The sequence below is a fragment of the Homo sapiens genome, chromosome 13 (genome assembly GCF_000001405.40).
Source record: "Homo sapiens chromosome 13, GRCh38.p14 Primary Assembly".
Classification (NCBI taxonomy): domain Eukaryota; kingdom Metazoa; phylum Chordata; class Mammalia; order Primates; family Hominidae; genus Homo; species Homo sapiens.
The window spans coordinates 35866507-35889104 of NC_000013.11; the positions used below are offsets into that span (position 1 = coordinate 35866507).

At 41.0% G+C, this 22598-nt stretch overlaps 1 protein-coding gene and 1 long non-coding RNA gene across 8 annotated transcripts in view; one reads left to right on the forward strand and one right to left on the reverse strand.

The window, feature by feature from the left end:
- Positions 1–22598, reverse strand: part of DCLK1 (doublecortin like kinase 1) — a 363288-nt gene that overhangs the window by 97855 nt on the left and 242835 nt on the right. For all 6 annotated transcript variants that reach the window (NM_001330072.2, NM_001330071.2, NM_004734.5 and 3 more), the window contains exon 5: positions 4718–4834. In NM_001330072.2, coding sequence (NP_001317001.1) covers positions 4718–4834 — 117 coding nt within the window. The remainder of the gene's footprint in view (positions 1–4717; positions 4835–22598) is intronic.
- The window catches only part of LOC105370163 (uncharacterized), a 45346-nt gene that overhangs the window by 8442 nt on the left and 14306 nt on the right, over positions 1–22598 (forward strand). The gene's annotated exons all lie outside the window — the stretch shown is intronic.

A 22598-nucleotide genomic window follows, 5' to 3' on the forward strand; every position in this document is an offset into this window, starting at 1 on the left:
CAGTTGTGCAATCTCGACTCACTGCAACCTCTGCCTCCCAGTGTCAAGCCATCCTGTATAGCTGGGACCACAGGAAACAAAGCAACCATCATTCCAGGCTAATTTTTGTATTTTTTTTTTTTTTTTTAGAGACCAGGTTTCACCAGCCTGCCTTGGCCTCCCAAAGTGCTGGGATTACAGGCATGAGCCACCACACCCAGTCTAAAGATGCTTTAACATTAAAAAATCAGGTGGTAGTTGGGTTTGGGGCAATACCAATGTTTATGGAGTATTTAAGTAAAATTCATGTTTGAGTCCATATGATTAATGAAAAACACTAAACAGGCTATTTTAAGAAAATGTGATGTAATCCATATAGAGACAATTCAACGTGCCTTTCCACTAGTTCCAAGAGCTATAGTTGAGTAGGGACAGGAGACCTGGGCCAGAGCAGTGGAGGGGCCCTGAGAGAGGGGTTTCCCTGACATCCAGCAGCTACACTTGCCTCTAGGAGAACTGGCAACACTGCCGAATTCCTTAACCTCTGGGCCCGGTTCCAGGGAAAGGAGGTGGTCCTGAGGTCACTGGCACAATCCACACATTTGTGACTGGGAGTTGACTGCCCTGTGAAACTCTCTAAATTGGTACCATCCAAAGGAAAGTGGTAACAAGTCACTTTTGGTAGCAAGTCAGAATCAAGAGATAGTCAGTGCATATAGTAATCTCTTATATAATCAGAAAATGATTGCATGTTATCTCTTCCAGGTCAAAATGCAGCAAGTTGAAAATTTTATATACACAAAAAGCTCACATTAAACAAAATATGATCAGTGTTATATAATTAACTTTGACCTAGAAGTTAAAGTGCTAATTTTTCAAGAACATATTAATTTTAGAATGAATTTGGACTCTACTTTCTTTATGAAAATGATACTACTTGGTATGACTTACCTATCACAAATTCCAAGTTAGTGCTGGTCAATTCAACCAGGTTTCAACTAGAGTTGAAAAGGACTTCAAGGAAAAAATAGAATGTGGAAATGCTTGTTTGGAGCAACCTGTTGATTTTGAGGCAATGTGTCCTACCCATTTTAAACTTCTAAAAGGAATAATTACAAATGTTGGCAGTGACATACAAGTACATTTAATATATTCGCCTATCTTCTTGAGTTTCCAAAATTACTTTTCAGAAATGAATATAAATTCTTACAATGCTGAATAGTGATTACATTACCAGTTAATTATAAAATGAAATTATTGCCTATATGCATAATTATATTTTTAAGATTAGACTCATCAGTCCATTCTTTAACATGTACGCAAGAATCTGATCCATTCCCCATCTTTATTGACTTAAAGGGAGAAGAAAGAAAGAAAGAAAGAAAGAGAGAGGGAGAGAGAGAGAGAAAGAGAGAAAGAAAGAAAAAGAAAGAAAGAAAGAAAGAAAGAAAGAAAGAAAGAAAGAAAGAAAGAAAGAAAGAGAAAAAGAAAGACCCTAAACCCTGGAGTATCTAGAGTATCTAACAACCTACAGCTCTTTTTTTTTTTTTTTTTTGAGATGGAGTCTTGCTCTGTTGCCCAGGCTGGAGTGCAGTGGCACCATCTCCGCTCACTGCAAGCTCCACCTCCCGGGTTCACGCCATTCTCCTGCCTCAGCCTCCCGAGTAGCTGGGACTACAGGCGCCTGCCACCACGCCCGGCTAATTTTTTGTATTTTTAGTAGAGACAGGTTTCACTGTGTTAGCCAGGATGGTCTCGATCTCCTGACCTCATGATCCGCCTGCCTCAGCCTCCCAAAGTGCTGGGATTACAGGCGTGAGCCACCGCACCTGGCCCAACCTACAGCTCTTAACAACAAAACTGCTAAAAACAATGACAATAAAAAGTTAAAAGCTGCAGTGCATATTGATTTTCTTGGAATATCTGTAATATAAAACACATAAGAATTTGGCTAATTACCCATTATTAGATGCATCTGCCCCACACTTGTTTTTTTATTCATCTTATATACTGAGAGGAAGAAGATAGGAAAGGTTAAGTAAAATTTAAGTCAAAGTTGGTTTGGATGGAGAACTAATTTTGTTTTTTAATATTGATGATTTTTAATAGTATTGATACTATTCATTAATTCATTAATATACTAATTGATACGGTTTCATTAATATAGGCTCTCATTCTCTTTCACATCCTTCTGTGATTGCATTAAGTAGCCAAAATTTTAGGGGCAATAAGCTGGCTAGGCTTATGACTTTGTTCTCCTTTATTGCTCCATGGGAGTTCACCCTATAGCCCAGATTTATTTATTTCTTTATTATTTGTTTTGAGACAGTGTCTTGCTCTGTCATCCAGGCTGGAGTGCAGTGGCGTGATTTCTGCTCACTGCAACCTCTGCCCCTCAAGGTTCAAGCGATTCTCCTGCCTCAGCCTCCTGAGTAGCTAGGATTACAGGCACCCACCACCATGCCTGGCTAATTTTTGTATTTTTAGTAGAGATGGGGTTTCACTACATTGGCCAGGCTGGTCTCAAACTCCTGACCTCAAGTGATCCACCCCCATCAACCTCCCAAAGTTCTGGGATTACAGGTATGAGCCACCAGGCCCGGGCCTATAGCCCAGATTTAATCAGAGAAAGTGAGAAATGTTTTTTAGTTAAGACTGAACATCCTCCACAGAGCTCAATATTAACCTGTCAGCTGGACAAGCTCAGTTCTTCCAGGGGAGTTTTCCATGCAGCAATTCCAGGATCACTCTGTCATTCTGTGGAGGTCCTCTTCTCTGTGTGTGGGTGGTATCTCCCTTGAAGGGAGAGACTTTCCCTGACATCCTGGGGAAGGGATCATCTTCAGAAAGAAATTCTCTTTTCTCCCAGGTGACTGACTCTCTGAGGCCAGGTCATTGCAAGGAGGGAGAAAAGGAAGTTGGCATCTGGTACTCTCCTTTGTTCATTGCTCTTTTGGTCTACACATCAAGGTATCTAAAAGGTCTGCTCTTGGATTGCAAGGACACTGATGGACATTGCTACTTGGAGGCAAACAGGGAGGTAGAAAGGAAGTCATCTCTGTCATGCCAGTAAATGAAGATGAACAAGTCATATCTTTCCCTCCAGATTATCCAGAGTCAAATGTTTTCTGCATTTACTTCCTTTCTGTTTTCCAAAACCCCCTGCTTCTCAAAGTGTGCATTGGAATCAGCTGGAGGGCTTGGGAAATTCCAATTTGCTGGGCTCTAGCTCCAGAGTTTCTGATTCAGTGGTTCTGGAGAGGGAGCTCAGGGCTTTGTAGTTCTAACAAGTGCTCAGGTGATGGTGATGCTGCTAGTTTGAGAACCACTGCCCTCACCTACTGTTTCTCAAAATGTGGACCACAGACTACCCGATCCTAATCACCTGGAGTACTTGCTGAAACACAGGTTTAGGTCCTTAGTCAGAATCTCAGGGTGTGGGGGTTCAGGATGACAAACTTTGCCAAGTTCCCAAGTGACTCTCATGAGCTCTAAGCTTTGAGTCTACTGTCTCATCCTTTAGCAATGCCTCATTTTAGGGCTCTATCCTATCTACATGAGCAGTGTCATACTAAGGGAGGAGTTCTCAGCTCACCTTTAAACTACAGAGGCAAACAAGATGCATCTCAAGTGCCAGCGATGCTCTGAAACGTATTTCCTGACTGGCTATGATGCAGGCCATGCTGTGGGAAGGAGGCATTGGCAGCCCATTGATGCCACCCTAGGTTGAGAGTCAGAGGGGAAGGTGGTCTTTGGAGATCTGTCTAGAGAATAGCAGTAATTGGTAAAACTCCAAGGGGAAGGAGACTCTTAGAGAATCAAGGAGGGCTGGGTGGTCTAGCTGGCCCCTGACCTATAATGATCCACCCTATTGAGAGTTCCTTCTTAGGCAGCCTCAGCCGAGAGCTCTTTTCACACTCCCCCTAGCCCATGCTGTTGAGTAAAAGAAGGCCCCCAAGTAGGCCCCAGAGGTCTTTATTCTTATTTATAAGAGCTTCTTGTCTTCATGAAATCAGGTAACAATCACTTTGACATTTGCATCGTTTAATAATTCCCAATACAATTTGTGTCATTTAATAAATAATTCCCTTTAATAACAATAGAGACCCTTCACCTGAGACAAACAAAGAAGACACTTTCTAACTGACTTCATGTCAGTTTTAAGACCAAAAAGGAGAAGGTAGGGTTGAGGTGCTCATCTTGTGCATACACAGCCTCTCCAACACCAGCACTAGAATCCACTGAGAGACAGGCTCAGGCCAAGGTCACTGCAGCAATCCCTGCTCCACCCTCTCAATCTCACTACCTTTAGCTCCAGAGCCATGAAAGGAAACTGAGGCCAGAGCCAAAAGTGTGTTTAATAAAGGTTCAGCGAATACAAATGGGAAACTCTTCATAGGCCAGTCTCAGGTAGAATAAATGCTTTAACAGAGACTTCCAGAATCTGAAAGATTAACTTTGGTGGTAGAAAGGATACAAGATGATAACGTTCTTCTATTTGTGGGCAAATCTGGGTTTCCTGAGTCCTCACTAAGTACATTTTTTGAAGCTCAATGCTTTTTCTTGCAGCCAATATGCTAGACTCCAGCAAATCTGTTCAACCGCTCTAAGATGTTCTAAAATTATAAACCGGAACCTACACTCGCTTAAAAACCTCACACTCTAGGCTTCACACACCCTCTGCTCATCCTGTGTCAGGAACAAGGCAATTTCTTCAAAATCCCCTCTGCTGCTTTACCTGAGCTGGTGGAGGCAGGGGACTTGCTACGCCTGGACGGTCCTGGGCTCTTGGTGGTGCTCCTGCGGGATGATGAAGCTATTTTGGTGTAAGAAGTGGACTTTACCACTCGACATTCTGGGGAAAGAACAAAAACCACACATCATTATGGGGTAATGGCACACACACACCAACTCAAAATGCACAATAAACCTGGAAGTAGAAATATATGACCATCCTCAGTCACATCTACTTCCCACCAGCTGGGTTCTTGTCTATGTCAATGAAACCAAGAAAACAAAGAGGAAGGACAGGGTGGGCTTCTTAGACATGGAAGTAAATAATACTTCAATCCCCCTAGGTTACACTCCTTACAATAATATTTTGGCTAGATTGGGAGTGATATAGGCTAATAAAGAGGTGTTTTGTTGGGTTTCTCTCTACTCACTCCTTGAGTTATCTGTATATGTGGGTCTCTTGGGATAAACTGTTGTTGCTTCCAAGGAAAATGTTAGAAGAAAGGTCAACCTCATAAACCAAGAAATGTGGTGGTGGAAGATTCCGCCCACCACAACAGGACCAAGTTTATTGCCATGGGTCCTCACGGAGATAGTTGTGGGTCTTTATGATATGTGGGAGATGACAGCATTTGCTTGGAAGAGGTAAAACTGGTGAAGAGGTGGTATTTCCCTGCTGCAAGGGCATCCTGCCAGCCTGTGCCACCACATGAAGCTGCCACAGATTTTATACTGTGTCTGTGAAATGGTTTGTGGCTTGAGGATAAGAAACAACTTCACTTTCATTAGATTTAAATTCTCAGTGTTCATGTCCATTATATTCAATGCTGAACATCTTAAATGGCAGAGAGTTTTCTATTTCTCTCTTAGTGAGCTCCCTTGACCAATTATGATGCTGTACAAACCCACATATCTTGTTCTTAAGAAACTGCTTCTAATAATTAACAAAAAAATATATGCTTGTAAGGATAATCAATGTTCACTGTAGATGGAAAAATATAAGGCATATTTTAAAACACCCCCAATAACCCATGATCAAATGATACTTTATTTTTGGAGGGGGGTATAGAAACTTCTAGAATTTTTGTCTATGCATTTATATATTTCAGCATTAGGATTTGTTCATATGTGTTGATCTGTTACCAACCCTTTTCACAATACAGTATCTTGTGAGCATTTTCACTCTGTTATTTAATGGCTGTTGAGCATCTGACTGCATGGAATACCATAATTTACTTAACCGAATTCCAACTATTGAATATCTAACTTGCTTTCAGTATTTCACTGTTATAAATAATTACTCAATGACACCTTTGTAAATGAGTGTGCAGTTATCCTATCACTCCCTTAGGACAGATTTAGTCCCTGGCACTTGACATTTAGTTTCTAGTAGCCAGAAACCAAGGGCACACTGTGGGTGCTCAAAAATATTTACCGACCCTTTTCTTTTTAAAAAATTATAAATTCAAAATTTAAAAAATAGCAATAGCTATTTGTTCTTTCCCCTTCAATATCACTACCTTTGTGATATTGTTCTTTCCCCTTCAATATCACTAACATTTTTAATAGTGTAAGGACCTTACCATAGCTTTTCTAAGCTTATATAAACACATATATACATAGCCAGGTTTTTGTTTGCTTTTTATAAAAATGGCAAGATAGCGACATATTTTATACATTTTCCATACTTATATATTATAATCATCTTTCTTGGTCAACCCATAGCAATCAAAACTGTTTTTCTAAACCCTGCATCATATTTTGTAATATGTTTATATCACAACTTATTCAATCATTCCCCTATTGATAGAAAGTCAGGTCACTCCTTATATTCTAATTTCTTCTTTATATTTTCCAACTTAAATAAAAAATTTTAGAGACAAGCCGGGCCAACATGGTGAAACCCTGCCTCTACTAAAAATACAAAAATTAGCCGGGTATGGTGGTGGGCGCCAGTAATCCCAGCTACTCGGGAGGCTAAGGCAGGAGAATCACTTGAATCTGGAAGGCAGAGGCTGCAGTGAGCCAAGATCCCAAAAACATAAATAAATAAAAATAAAAAAATTAAAATTAAAAAATTTGCTGAACAAAGTGGATTTGGTGAGTTCAAAGAGAACTTCTTAAAAGCTCTGAATGATGCCCTCCAGAAAGTCCAACAAATTGTACTTTTTTTTTTCCCCTCAAGACAGAGTCTCGCTCTTGTTGCCCAGGCTGGAGTGCAGTGGCGTGATCTCGGGTCACTGCAACCTCCACCTCCCGAGTTCAAGAGATTCTCCTGCCTCAGCCTCCCAAGTAGCTGGGACTACAGGGTGCCCACCACCATGCCTGGCTAATTTTTGTATTTTTAGTAGAGGTGGGGTTTCATCATGTTGGCCAGGCTGGTTTCAAACTCCTGACCTCAAATGATCCACCCACCTCAGCCTCCCAAAGTGCTGGGATTACAGGTGTGAGCCACCATGCCCGGCCTCAAATTGTACTTTTATAGACAATGAGTGGTCATTTGCTGGGTCCCTCACTGAGGTTAGGTATTACATTTTCAAAAAATCTTTGCCAATTTCTAAACAAATATTGGATTTCCTTTCTTGAAATCTGAATTGGTTTGATTGCCAGTAAAGTTGTACATTTTTCCCACACGCATATTAGCCATTTGGATTTCTTCTTTTGCAATTACTTATTTATGTCCTACTTTCTCTTATTGGTTTGTAAGAGTGCATTCTATATGAAAGTTTAACACTTAGTCTATCATGTTATAAATATTTATCATTGTAGGTAGTTGTTGAAATATGTTAGCTTTTCAAATGTGGTGAACCTTTTTAGTATAGTAGTTTTAAATTAAACTACTTTAACTTTTCCATTATATATTTTAAATCCCATTTTACGCTTTAGTAACAAAGAACTCATAATCATTCCAGATCTCATTCTGATGCCTGACTTCAAAATTTTTCTTCCCTATCCACGCAATTTCTAATTTTCTAAATTCAAAACATGTTTCTCTCTCTTATATATTCTGAATTGCTTTATATAAACATCGTTTCCTATTTTTTTCTAACATCTAAACTAACAAAGTAGTTTAAATTGTTTAGTAAGAAAAGATGTGAGTTTATATGAAATACAGATGTTATAAGACTACAAACAGGAGATAAGTCATGGAGGAGAGTGTGTCCTAGAGAGTCTCATGAATTGAAATGGGGGAAAAGAAGAGGGAATATTAAAAAAGAAGAGGAAGCAAATTCTGCCTTGTGATATTTCTTCTTCCTCCACTTGTTTTCATAGCCCAAAGCAAAGAGAAATGAATCAAGGCATTACAGAGCCTGCCCAGTCTTCCCCAACAGTTACTTGGGCCACTGTCACTGTTCTGGCCTGCCCAGTGACCCTGCAAGATATTTCTGTTTTTTAAAAAAAAGAAAAAAATCTATACATACAGGAATATTGACAAAAATTAAAAGATAGGAGTAACCAAGAAACAACATTAACAACGTCAGAAAATACAATAGGAAAACCAGGACCGTTCCCATGGGACAATAACGCCCAAGGTGTCCGTGGAGATTTTGATTCGCAAAACAGAGCTTTGGAACGTGCCAAGGAGATCTCAGATTAGCTCATGGCTCTGACCATGCAACTGACAACACATCCTGGAGTTTGTCCTAGCTTTGGCCTCTGCCTAGCCTTTTGGAAGTACACTAGCAACCAAACTGGAATGCCACAATGTCGCCGGCCCATTGGCATGCTTCCTCGTACATTTTTATCACGTGGCCACTACGTGCCAAGCATCGAGAGCTGCAGGCATGATGGAGAACAATACAAAGTTTTGGAACTCAAAACCTTTACCATCTGGTAATGGTGCATAGAGTCTTTTCACCAGTGAGGCCTCTTTTTGCTAATTTTTATTTCATGGACCTCATGTTTGAAAAATGTTAGTTTATGCAACACATTGTTGTTAAGTAACATTCAATTTTCTCATTTTAAATAAAAATCAAGATGATCATGAGGGCAGATGACCAGAACTTTTTGTCCCAGGTTATGAACATTCAGAGGTCACATAAATTTAAAACAATGATTTTAAAAGCTCAGCATCTAGTTAGCAAGAATGAATAGTTAAGATAGAAAGCTAACAGATGGTACACATTGTTCATAATATCCATCTGTGATCCACAATGTGAATTTAAAAGTTGGTTTTAGGGTTCATGGCATGCTGTTTGGCACAGGTGCCAGAGTTGCTAGCTGTGGCTATAACTACCAACCAGCAATCCAGGACACCATAATAGAACCAATCTTACCACACTCAGTTGACACTTTTCCAAGTACCAAAAAGAAACTTGGTATTTCTGTGAGGCAGCTCTTCTTATCAGAAGAAATGTAGGTATTTCATTAAGTTTTTGAAATATTGGAAAAACTTGTGGCCTCTTATCATGCTTCCAAAGCTTCCCTTGCTTCTCCTGAACTGAGTTCTCACCATATTATTAATCAGTCAGAATTATTCATTTATTAGTCCGTCTCCCCACTCCCATACTCCATTGGATACTAACTAGTCCCTGCCATATTAAAAAGCATGAAGTAGCTGCTCGATAAATATCGGCCCAAATTGCTGCTGATCCTGTTACTACTTGTGTGAACTCTTGGTATTCACTGAACTAACCCAAACTCTCATTGTACACCCAAGAAAACTGAGTCTCAGAGAGATGAAATGACTTGCATCAGAACCCAACTCTCTTGGGTTGGTGGCTTCCTCACTACCCCCAGTATCTGATGCTGTGGCCTAAGCAAGCTGTTCCATGGTGACGAAAGCCTGGGAAATGTCTATCGGTGTCCATGGTCAGGGGCAGACAAATGGGTGATGGTGCATCAGGGGAAGAACTGCAAGCAACTGTTCTCATATCAACATTAAATAAGAAATTCAAGATATGAAAGCTACCTGTCTATCAAATGTTTAGTATATCAGAAAAAAAGAGAAACAAACTGTCTTTCAGAAATGGAGTTATAATGAAGTAATAGCTTGGAGGATCATGGAGTCTGAAAGATAATTACAAATATTTCAACTCTTGGACCACTTGCCTTAAGGATAAGAGTGATACTTCATGAGTCATATTGTGGATTAGAATAATTCCAAAGGCTTGGGTTGAATAACAAAAACAGAAACAACAACAACAGATTTATAGTAACTACGTTTTCTAAAATGGGTCAACATAAATCCAGCTGAAGAATATTGCAGTGCCAAGCCGTAAATTATAAAAAACAAAAACAAAAACTCCAACCATCTTTCCAAATAAAGTTTAGATTTTCCATGTTTTAATTAATTTAAATAGGAATTGTATTTTATAATGGTGAAAATGCAGTGAGGAACAAATGCTGCATGGCTTCAGAGAGAATGCCAAAATCTACATCAGCTGATAACCACAATTTTGAAACATTGTGAATAATATGACCTAAATGGCCAGTAATGTAGAAAACCTTTTTGTTGACACAAAGGACATTTTCATAGCCTCAGGCAAGGAAGAAAGCAGTGCCTTCCATTCCCCCTCTCACATGGGGGCATTTGCCTTTGGGGGCCATCACTTCTTTACTCTGATGTTTCTTGGCACCCCTATATTTCACTGACCAATTCTCTAAGAGGACTGTATTTCCTTTGGTGGTGGAGAAACTGGATGACCCAGACTCTCCTTAAGAAAGATGACACCGAAGGACTGTAGGTAAGCCACTTGAAGGAAGCTAACAGATGGTAATTTCTCTTGCTCCTAAAGATTGCAGCCTACCCAAAGGACAGGAAATCAGACCAAACTCATGAACTGGTTCTCTGATGACTGAACCTCCCACAGCAGGCAAGCAAGTAAGCAACATTGAATTAAATCTCTGCTCTATTTAGTCCCTACATTCATCTGAGGTGAAAAGTATCATTCCCCACACGATCTATACAAATGTTTTGGGGATTTATAGAAGTTAAATGTTTCTCACCTTCACCCAGGACATGAACTCCTGAAATGGGCATTCTTTGATGGACAGATTTAGAGAGACAGCCCAGATGGTGATGTATAAGGAGGAGGTGGAACATATTCTTTGGCCACATTCCCGGTGGCAGGAGAACCTCCACTTAGAAAGATCCTCCCCCCACTCAGAAACAGTTGGTAGGTAGGCTGAAGTGTTATAGAAGGTGCTGAAGAATAGAAACGGTTGCAGAATTCCACCAAAGACACCAGTGGCTCACCTGAGCTCACATAGTGATCATGCATTCAAAGGGGCCTACTTAGACCTTCTGGAGAATCTTGAACAAGGCATAGGTGAAGTCCCTTGAGTGTCTAGACAGCCTTGGTGACATGCTGCATGTTGGCTAGGGAATACTCTTTGAACAAGAAATGGTTTTACTTTTCTAGTCTCTTTTTTGAAACCAACCAGCATAAAAGCACTCTTAGGCAGAGGCCTCTTAATATATCTCAACTCTAAATTCAGTTTTCTGAATTGTTCAGGAAATGGACAAGTTCATCTAGAAGAAACCATCATAAGCAGTAGATGCTTTGTGCTTTCTACCATACCCTGATTACAAAGGCAAGCTTCCTCTTAATTTGGCAAAGGTACAAAGCCTGTAAATGGAATAATATTCCTCTCTGTTGCTATATGCAAAAGAGAGTGAGGAAGCACATTCAGTTCCAGAGGCATTTTATAAAAATGGCACAAAGTCAATGACAAAAAGAACTTGCAATTCTGATTCTCCAATTCTCCAATAAGTTGCCCCTACATGTTCACTTCCCTCCCCTTGGGAGGCGCCCTCCTAGAATATCAAGGCTGTCAATGGTTAATGAGTCAACTCTCTCCTTAACTCAGGAATATTCTCTCCTCCTGTCTCCATTCCAACTAAGTGGTGGTCCAGCTTCCTTCTGAGCACCCCCAGTGCCTGGGAGATTCACCACCTCCTGCCTCATGGTTTTGAATCTCAGTCTCCATCCTCAGTCTCCAGCTTGTCTGCCTGGTTGAGCTGAACAAAGCCATCCTGGTATAATGGACAACTAAAATTTACTTTCTATAGAAATGTTATGATTTTCATACTTCGCAGCAGCATTACAGGAAAATCCACATGTAGGCTTCTTGAGGAAAGGATGGGCCTGCATCTAGTAAGAACTGAGGCCCATCTGGTTTCTTCTACTCCACCCGTTTTCTGAGTGAACCCTGACACCATGGTAAGACTCCCATCCTACTGCCTGTGGGGTTTGAAATAACTGCTGCTTCCCCAAGCTCCACACGCAGCACGTCTGGAATAAAAGCAATCAAGATCAAAACACTCTAAAATACAGCTTTTAAAAACAAAGCATTGCAGTGGGGGGGAAATGGGGATGGTTAATGGGTACAAAAAATAATTAGAAAAAATGAATAAGATCTAGTATTTGATAGCACAACAGGGTGACTACAATGAAGAATAATTTAATTGTATACTTAAAAATAACTAAAAGAGTATAATTGGAATAAATGTTTGAGGTGATGGATACCCCATTTACCCTGATGTGATTATTATGCATTATATGCCTGTATCAAAATATCTCATGTACTCCATAAATACATACACTTACTATGTAACCATAAAAATTACATTTTTTTTTTTTGAGATAGTCTTGTTCTGTCGCCCAGGCCAGAGTACAGTGGCACAATCTTGGCTCACTGCAACCTCTGCCTCCCAGGTTCAGGTGATTCTCCTGCCTCAGCCTCCTGAGCCACTGGGATTACAGGCACACACTGCCATGCCCAGCTGATTTTTGTATTATTAGTAGAGATGGGGTTTCACCATGTTGGCCAGGCTGGGCTCGAACTCCTGACCTTAGGTGATCTGCCCACCTTGGCCTCCCAAAGTGCTGGGATTATAGGCATGGCCACCACACCGGGCCAAAAATTAAAAAATATATAAAACACAAAAGTGAAAAAGAAGGCATGGGACAGACTGAATTGGAGACAAAGGCATCAGCTGGAGTAACTTAACTGGAGAGTAAAGTCCCGGAAACTAAGATTTTAAAAGTACCTTCTAAAAATACAGGGAGGTATGTTTAAACCAGCACTTCCACTGGTCCACCACAACTTCCAGAACACCCAGCTCAGTGCTCCAGATGGCGCCCACGTGTTCCTCCACCTGCACGGGGCTCTAGAGGCACTGCTGGGAGCAGAAACCTTATGTAACATCTGCAGAAGGCTTTATGGCACTGGGATTTTCTGTATTAACATCTCAAGAGTCACAGCTCAGATCTACTGTTCTGATAGTATGAATGATTCTCCTTTCCAAACCCTTTCCTTTTCCCTAACAGTCACATAAGAGAAAAGTTCATCTTTTCCTACATAACAGTGCAGAGGTCTGCAGGTGTCCTGAGGGATAGGCGGTTTAGCTCCGGGAGATTGCTTGGTAACCCAAGTTCCTACTATCTTATCTCTGTCAAACCTGAGTGTTCTCATCCACAAGGGTCCCAGTTGGTTTATGTTGCCTTGTCTGAGTTTCAACCCCGGGGGAAAGCAGAAAAAGAGGAAGGTTTGCAGACACCGGGCATGAAAAGCTGATCTGTTCCTTGTTCTACCAGAACTTAATTTCCTGAAATGAATACTGATCTTTCCTTTTTCCCACATGTCATTTGCACTTTTTTGTGCCAGTTGCTAGTGGTGTCCTTGGCCTCACCCACTAGATGCCAGTGCCACTAGATGCCAGTAGCTTCCCTAGTTATGTGACCAAAAACGTCCCCACACATTCCCAAATGTCCTCTGAGGGCATATTACCCCTGGTAGAGAACCACTGCCAATGTCTTCATTAGGCAATGTTTCCCAGAGGGGCCCTCAATTAACTCTTACATTCTTCCTCCACGCTGTTAATGAAACCGTCACCAACCACCTGCTTGAGTCTCTAAACAATGCATTCGTATACTCTTTCTGCAGGTCTGGCAGACATAAACTGAGTTTCGGGCTTTACACTGTAGTGTAGTTGATGCAACTGACAATGCTGAAGGTCTTCCAATAGTCTGTTAAAATTGGATTAGTACCCATTGCTTAACCATCCTGAGAATATGGGAACATGGGGTCTTGGTTTCTTAGCTGAGAGTCTGGAGGATAAAGAATGTCATGGGGCAGAGGTTAGAGAAAGAGACTTCCACATTGCTGTGTGCGAACCCGAGTGTTGCAGAAGGGCCACAAGCATGGCCCGTGATCAGGCTGCCCTCTAGGTAAGGTTCTTTCCCTTCCAGGTACCACTTGACCCCTACAATGACCCTTTGGAAACAACTCCAAAATGGTGTTCCTCACTATTTTGGATTGAATGCAAGTACGATGCAAGAGATTATGCTTTTCTTACCTATTGAGATGTGGGGATTTTCAACCTTAGTCATTAAGCCTGGCAGTATTGCCTCAAAAACACAAACATGTACCCCTTTTGCTGATTTGCAGTTGGGGTCTTATCTTTCTGAATCCTAAATGCAAGTGTAGTTGGTACATTTGCTTTCCCCATAAGAACCCAACCTCATTGGCATTAAAACGTGTCCCAGAAGGCATCTGTTTTTTCTCTGCCATGGGTTCCCAGCTGGGCTTTGCTCAGGGTCTGCTGCCTTTTCATTGGCCAGTGAAGCTTCACCAAATCTTGACCTTTTTGAAAGTAAAGCAGTTATTAAAATTGAGAAGCTCCACTTTGGCTGGCTCTGAGCTTCTTCTCATAAAAAACCCATGTGTCTTCAGTGAGAGATTTGAATAAATCAAAGATGCCAAGGGCCTGTTCTCCCACATGTCATATGTTCCACATTGTTCAGCCGAAATACAATGCCCTCTTAGTCTTTACTGATGTCTGATCACCTTGAGAGACTGAATATACAGATGAACAATGGCCAGACCATATAACAAAACACAACTCTGGCTCACGACCTGCAGCAACATGCCGGGGAAAAACCCCCTTTCTATGACAGCCTACCAGAAGGTAGCACACTCTAAGTCAGACTTGCAGAAAAATCAATAACAAATTACAATGGTCTAGCTCTAGTAACATTCCAGGAAGCCAAACAATAACCCTTGTAACAATTGACCTTAAATTAGCCAGGACTTAATAAGTGACAGCATCCCTAATTTTTGTTTGCACTTCCAACTTAGCACCAACTAGAAAGGGTGAAATGTGCGCCTCTAACCAATCCCGTAGAGTGCCCCACTTCTGGTTAGCTTGCCTACATCTTCCCCATACCAACTGCTTCCATCAGGGTGCAGGGAAAGCCTTCCCTTTTTTTCTTCTCTAAAGCACTCCTACTCCTCTGCCTGCCTTTGAGTCCCTGCCAAAATGCAGATGATGTTGGCTGACTCCTTGCTATAGCAAGCTCTGAATAAATAGCCTTAGTTTGTTCTCATTTGGTTGGTCTTCACTGATTTGCACAGCACACATGGCTCTCCCTTAGCTGACTGCAGCACTTGGCACTATGGCTCGGTACATTTCTCTTTCTGTTACTCATACATCCAGTTCCTTGTGGCCACATTTATTCCTTGTGACACCTTGGAGAGTGCCACCCTGTCTCCCTGCCAGTCTGTCCTCTGGCACTTGGATAGACACCATTTCTTGAGCTGACCATAAAACAAAGCAGCTAACTTCAGTTGAGGGGCATGTCGTGTGAAATAGGCCCACCTTTATCTTCTAGAATCATGATAACAGTTCACAAGGGAAAGAAGGTTGACTGTGGAAACAGCAGGTGAACATCTCCAATCTCATGCTAACGCTGGGCCTACACTCATTGGATGGACTCATGCGCATAATGGTGCACATCTGAATTTTGATTTCTCTTTATCTTTTTTCCAAAGTGTATGCTTTAGTTGCCATAACAAATTACAACAAACTTCATGGCTTAAAATGACCAAAATATATTTGCTCACAATTCTAGAGGCCAGAAGTCTGAAATCAAGGTGTTGGCAGGTCTGGAGTCTCTCCAAAAGCTCTAGAATGGAATCCGTTCCTTGTCGCTTATAGTTTCTGGTGACTCCAGGCATTCCTTAGCTTGTGGCCACATTACTCAAATCTCTGCCTCCATCTTTACATGGACTTCTCTGTGTGTCTGTGTTATTTCCTTGACCTCTTTCTTAGGTGGACATTTGTGATAGGATTTTGGTTCCCACCAGAATAACCCAAGATAATCCCCTCATCTCAAGACCCTTAACTTAATTAAACCTGTAGAGACCTTTTTCCAAATAAGGTCACATTTACACATTGAAACCTTTCAGTGACTACTATTTAGCCTGCTACAATATGTATGACATCACTTTGATACCAGCCTCTCTTGAGCATTTTTATCAGGAAATCTATTGTTGCTCCACTGCTTAGAACCCTTCTAGGACTCTTTGTTGCTCTTCGAGAATATCCTTAGAGTAGCCTGTAAGGCCCCTCCCTACTTCAGCTTTCTGTCTCCCTTTTCTTTGGGTGCATTATTTTAGTTTCTTAACTGCACTAAGTAACCTCCTGCCTCTGGGCATTGGAATATTTATTTCCCTGCAAAAGGAACAATTCCCCAATACTGCCACCTTGCCTGGTTAACGTTCTGTTCATACCTCCACACTCAACTTAAATTCATACATTTTGCAAATATTTACTGAGTCTCTGCTGTTTTACGTGCCGGGATACTGTAGTGTATCAGTTGACAGGGTCTCTGCTTTTGTGGAATTTATACTCCAGCGGAGGAAATGAGCCTTAAACAAACAAAAACAAGAACAAGAGCTGAGTTTATAAGAACTTTGCCAAGAATTAAAAGGGTGATGTGACAGCGAGTGGCTGAGTGAGTGGTTTCTCTATATTGGTGGTCAGAGAAGGTCTCTTGGTGTTGATGACGTTGAAGCTGAGCTCTGAACACAGGAAGAAGTCAGCCGTGGATACACTGAAGGAAACAGAGGAAAGCAGGCACCAGATTAAGTCAAGATTGAAACAACCAAGTGAGGGGCTTGGGTTTTACTCTAAGCAAGATGAGAAGTTAGGAGGGGTTTAAGCAAGGGCAGTTGTTGTAGTTTAGATATTTGACCTCCAAACCTCATGTTGAAATCTGATCCCCCATGTGGGAGGCGGGGCCTAATGGGAGGTGACTGGGTCATGGGAATGGATCCCTCGAGAATGTCTTGGTGCCATCCATGAGGTAATGAGTGTGTTCTCGCTCTGTTAGTTCCAGCAAGAGTTCTCCCAACATCTAGTTGTTAAAAAGAGCCTGGCACCTTCCCTTCTCCCTTGCCTCCTCTCTCCATGTGATCTCTGCACATACCAGCTCCCCTTCCCCTTCCACCATGAGTGGAAGTAGCTTGAGGCCCTCAGCAGATGCAAATGCTGGTGTCATGCTTCTTGTGTAGTCTGCAGAACTGTGATCCAAGTAAACTTTTTTCTTTATAAATTACCCAGCCTCAAGTATTCCTTTATAGCAACACAAATGGACTAAGACAGCAGTGGTATGGTCTGATTTGTGAGTCTAAAAGGGAACTCTGGCTGGCGTGTAGAGGAAACATTGCAAAGTGGTTATTCTGGGTGAGAAAGGATGGTGGCATGGCCTAGGATGGAGGTGATAGAAACGGATAGAAAACAATGACTTGGAGATGATGAGGAGATAGAGTTCGCAAAGCTTGAGGATGGATTGCATAGGGGCAGGTAGACATGCAATCCCAGCTCATATGCTCCTTGTGTATGTACTGACGAGTGAGTCCTGCTGACAGCCTTGCACAGTGCAGTGGCTTCATGTGCCAAAGTGCAGGAGAGACCAAGAGTCTAGAAAGGCCTACAGTCTTCCTCTAGGATAAAGGACAGACTTCCCAGCTCTTTAAAAATGCAGATTCCCTGCCCTTCCCTGAACCTACTATATTAGACTCATTGGAGGTAGAACCTGGGGCACTTAAAAAAATTAAAAACCCATGTGATCCCAATGGTGTGGATCCACAGACCAGACAGCTCTTGCCATTCTCCTGTGGATTGATAAGAAAATTACCAAGGGAAATCCAGAGGTTCAGGGTTTGAAGTAATTGTGCAATGTGCCACTTGGAAAAAAAAAAGACTAAACTAAAAGCATGAGGAGATAAATTAGCAAGACAAACTGGTCTTGAAAAAAACAGCAAATATCTGTCCTCCTTCAGTTTTTATCCCAACTCAAATTTGCAAAAACAACCAACTATTATCCTGAGACCCAGTTGAAAGCAGACTTTGAAAGTGGAACAAGAGTTCATATATATTGTCAGCTCATGACCACCTGGCTTTAATTAGCTACAAGACGGGGAGGATCTGAAAGCTAGATAAGAAACAAGAAATAGATAAATTACTCAAGAATGGAGAGCTAGAAAATGAATAAGAATTCCTCCAAGAGAAAAGAAAAGGGAACAAAAGGAACTAACAACAATAAAAAGAGCATAACAATGTGAACTGAAATAAAATTTGATCACTGTCTCCTTGGGTACGGCTCCTTTAAGCCTGACTTTATCCCAGTCATGCAGAAAAGCAAGGATAAGCATGCATTTCGGTTTGGTGGTCCAATACTCAACCTACTCTAGCACATGCCCCAGTGGGTTGAGGTCAAGTGGTCTGGAGGCGGCTCCCTGAGAAAGTGGAAATGGTTGGAGTTTCTGGGGACCACACAGAGATGATAGTCAAGAACTCCAGGTGTGTCATTCACAGAAGGTAAGGGTACTGTTTTGGATGATGATTCGTCATAGTTTAGATTATAATAGGGTCCATTCTTATTCCATTAAAACAAAGCCACAGCCTCTGTGCTGCCCAATACCTTGGGTCACTTTGGCTAGGGACATTCTCTAGCACCTTGCAAGATGAGCCTGCCTTGTTCAGGTCATCACCAGGTCAGCGAAAACAGGACCAGGCTCTTGGTAGAAGGAGGGGCTCCTATATAAAGGAAGCTTCCAGAAAGGCACATACCCTTGTCCAGGTGTTCTGTGAGGTGGGCATCAAGCTTGATCGGGAACAGAGATTGTCCACCAGGAATGAGGTATCTGTGTTTGGCTAGAAGTCAGCCAAGCCTTTTCCTGAGAAAGACCTCCAACCTGAATCCACTTTGGGTAAATGAGGTAAGACAAGACTTGGGAAGATTATTTCTCCAATCAAAATCATCTCAGAGCCTGCACTGTCATCTTAGGGACAACAAAAAAAAAATTCTCCCTTCAGACTATACTAGAACAAAAATAAATAAATAAACAAATAAAAATTCAAGTGGGAAACCAAGAACAAAAACTCTAACTGTAAGGCCGGGAACAAAACATTCAGATTGTTGTGTAAACAAAGTAATCAGAATGTCATAATAAATGACAGGCTGAAGCTCTGTGCTTATTTGAAAGGGGATCAAGTAATACTGAAGAAGAGTGATGTAAACATACTCCTGAGCAAAGTCTCACTGGGATAGAATTTAATCAAGAGGTTTTACTTTCAAGAAATAAGCACAATCACAGAGGCCAGGAAACTTAGCTGTTTCAGGGAATTGATGGGTAGCACAAATGTGTGTTTGGCAGAACACACACAAAAATCAGGCATTAAATTAGGCATACCCTAAAACCTTCAAATTCATATTTTTATATATAACTCAGGTTGCTGATTTGTCATCTAAAAATGAAAATGATCAGGGCCTTACCATGCAAAAGTAATGATAAAATAATGATTGTGTGGTCTGAAGAAATAAAACTTTGGGAATACTTTTGATTGCTTTTCAATAATAAATGATTACTATAGTGATGGTGATGTTCTGTACCTAAAATAATAGTACTGCCTAGAGGAGAGATGTAAAATTATAGTAGCAGAAGTTCTCTTAGACAGCAGGGAAAGCTGCTAGATAAAGGCTGAATAGGTTCCTTTTTTTTTTTTTTTTTTTTTTGAGACGGAGTCTCGCTCTGTCACCCAGGCTGGAGTGCAGTGGTGCAATCTCGGCTCACTGCAACCTCTGCCTCCCGGGTTCAAGCGATTCTCCTGCCTCAGCCTCCTGAGTAGCTGGGACTACAGGCACATGCCACCATGCCTGGCTAATTTTTTGTATTTTTAGTAGAGACGGGGTTTCACTGTGTTAGCCAGAATGGTCTTGATCTCCTGACCTCGTGATCTGCCCGCCTCAGCCTCCCAAAGTGCTGGGATTATAAGAGTAAGACACCATGCCCGGCGAATAGGTTCTTAAGAAAACTTTCATTTCTTTCCAAGGGGCTACTTAAAAATACGGCAGCCAATCGTGTTTCTGGGCAATGGTTTAGATACTGCTCTAAATATTGGCAGGCTTTAGAATTAATGACTTCTTGGGAGATTGCAGAAATATCTACCCTAAAGAAGCAAAGGATGTTAGAAAAAGCTCCCCCCGATGTTGCACAAGCAATGCCACTTTTCTAAAAGTGTTCGGAAGAGTGCCACATGTGAGATCCACCGGAGAAATTCAATTAAGTGCTGCATATGAATTAGTTTCTGGTGACTCAGTTATGCCTATGGGTTTCTAGGCTGCTCGTTGAAGAAAGCAGCATGAGAGAACTCAGGAAACAGGGATAAAATAAATTCTTTCCTTTTTATCATAACTCAGTACATGAACCAGACAACACCCACATGTTAGGACAGCTTTTGTGGAGTCTGTCAGTCGTTTTCCTGACATTTTCACTGCTCCAGAGAAAACAGAAAGTTAGGTTATTTCACTTAAAGATTAAATAGGATAAAACATTTAGAAAACCTGGAGACAAAAATCTCACAGGTTCAATATGACTAAAAGGTAAATTTCTAGAAACTACACTTGCTAGGAGCTTCAGTAGATTCTAAGCTTCCCCATGGCCACTCCTCTTTCAGTCATTCTCTACTCTGCTGAGAAAGCAACTGTGTTTTTAGCTGAATCCCAACTGCCCTAAATGTTAGCTTGGAATCCAACTGGAAAGACGAAATAGTTCTGCGTTGCTTATATTTTTGGCAAAATGAGACTCTGTCTTCATAGATAAATCCAGCTACCTACAGTTGTCAGTCACGTAAGTGATATACTTGCTAACGATGCTACATGTTAGTAAATTGCTTGGGGAAATTACAGGTGATCTAAGTGCCACAGGTGACCTGTTTGAGTGGGCAGGGAGGTGAGGTTAGAACACCTGAAAATGTCTGAATCAAGTAGAAATGGACACTCTTGGTGAACATCTCAGTGTTAGGCTGGACTTGCATATTTAAGCAGCTCCAGTGGGTCTTTAAGTACAAGGTGGAACCCCTTAAAGCCGTTCACAACCAGCCAACATATCTGCCATCATATAAGTGACCTGCTGTCCTGTTCTCTGGATTTCTGGCTGCGTGATCTGGTTGCTCACAATTCCCAAGGGAGGCTGCACTTGCTGCTCAGCCCTCTCCTGTCATCTGCCTTAGAGGAAGTTGCTTTCAAGGAAGAGACTGGGTGGGAAAGACTGATGAAGAAACGGGAATTTGGGAAATTCTATGGCCATTCGTATCATTTCAAAAACAAAACTTCTAGTTTCCTATTCTGTGAAAAACCAAAGGCAAACAATTATCTAGGAACTGATCTTGTGAGCATAATTTAATCACCTATGTCATGTAGCTAGATTGTTTTCTTAAGGACAGAGTTATACCAATAAAAATAGAAGCTTTCAAGCCAGACACTGTGGTATGCGCCTATAGTCTCAGCTACTCAGGAGACTGAGGTGGGAGGATCTCTTGTGCCCAGGAATTCAAGCTTGGACAGCATAGTAAGATCTTGTCTCAAAAAAAAAAAAAAAAAAAAAAAAAAAAAAAAGAAGGCTTCAGTGGAAAGCATGTTCACACATACATATGCAATGAAAATTTACGAATGAAAAAGTTCTCCTGGATTCCAACAATTTCTAAACAATTTCTTCTTTTTATATTCTTTCACATTCATCCAAAGTAAGGCAGACATTTTTTAAGAGTGAGTTAATTATCAAGGATAATTCTATGTGTCCTACTCTGAAAACTTCAGATTTCCTTTTCCCCACTTTTGCCAAAAAGTCTAGTATTTATTATCCTGTTTCTCATGTTCTCTAATTACTTGACTTTCCTTTTAATGAGAAGTATCCTTCCCACCAACTGTCTAATAAAATCCTTGGTTGTATTGTTTAATTTTAAAGCACCCTCTTCATGAACAATTTATCTATTTTCCCTCCTATTCCAAATGACAGACATTAAATTACATCTCTGGGTACATGTGATTAATCTTCAATTCCAAAGTGAAGAAAAGAAGAAAAGGTTAGAAACATCTAAACCCTCTTTTCTTTTTTATTAGGAGAAAGCAGACTTTGGGTTGAAAACTTGATTTATTTCCCTTAAACCTATTTGAAGATCACCTTTACAACAAGGGGTCAAATGTGGCTTGAAATGAATTCCCCATGCAGTACTTATGTAAGTCCCTGGGTACAGCATTTCAAGGCTAATAAATATTGTAGTTATACGAAGGCAGCCATCTAATATGACAGCATATAGGCTTTTGGAGGGATTGTGGTCTTTCAATGAAAAGGATCTGGTTAGAAGGGAGACATTACAGTTGACTTGTGGCCAAGACGCCTGAAATCAGATGATACTCTATTTGCATTTGGCCCTCAGCCATCAAACAAATCAGTCATTACTGCAATCCACAAGGCAGTTATCGTTGGCTAAGTAATTCACAAAATTATTTCAGTAGATAACTTGCTGTTGGTGGCTAGACTTATCATCTTCAAATATTTACCCCATTAATTGCAATGGTATGTAAACTGCAAGGTAAACTTGTATTTCTATGACAAACTTGGCCCTTTTATTTCCAAAACAAAGAGTAAAGTGTCAAGCCCTGTTTAAAGACACTCAATCTCACATGGCAGAATTTTTTTCCTTTCCAAAAATATTAGCAGAGATGTATTTATATAATTTTAAAAATATATGCTTTTGTGTTTAGAAAACAGATAATCTTGTTCTCTTCTTTCTCTCTGGAATATTCTGT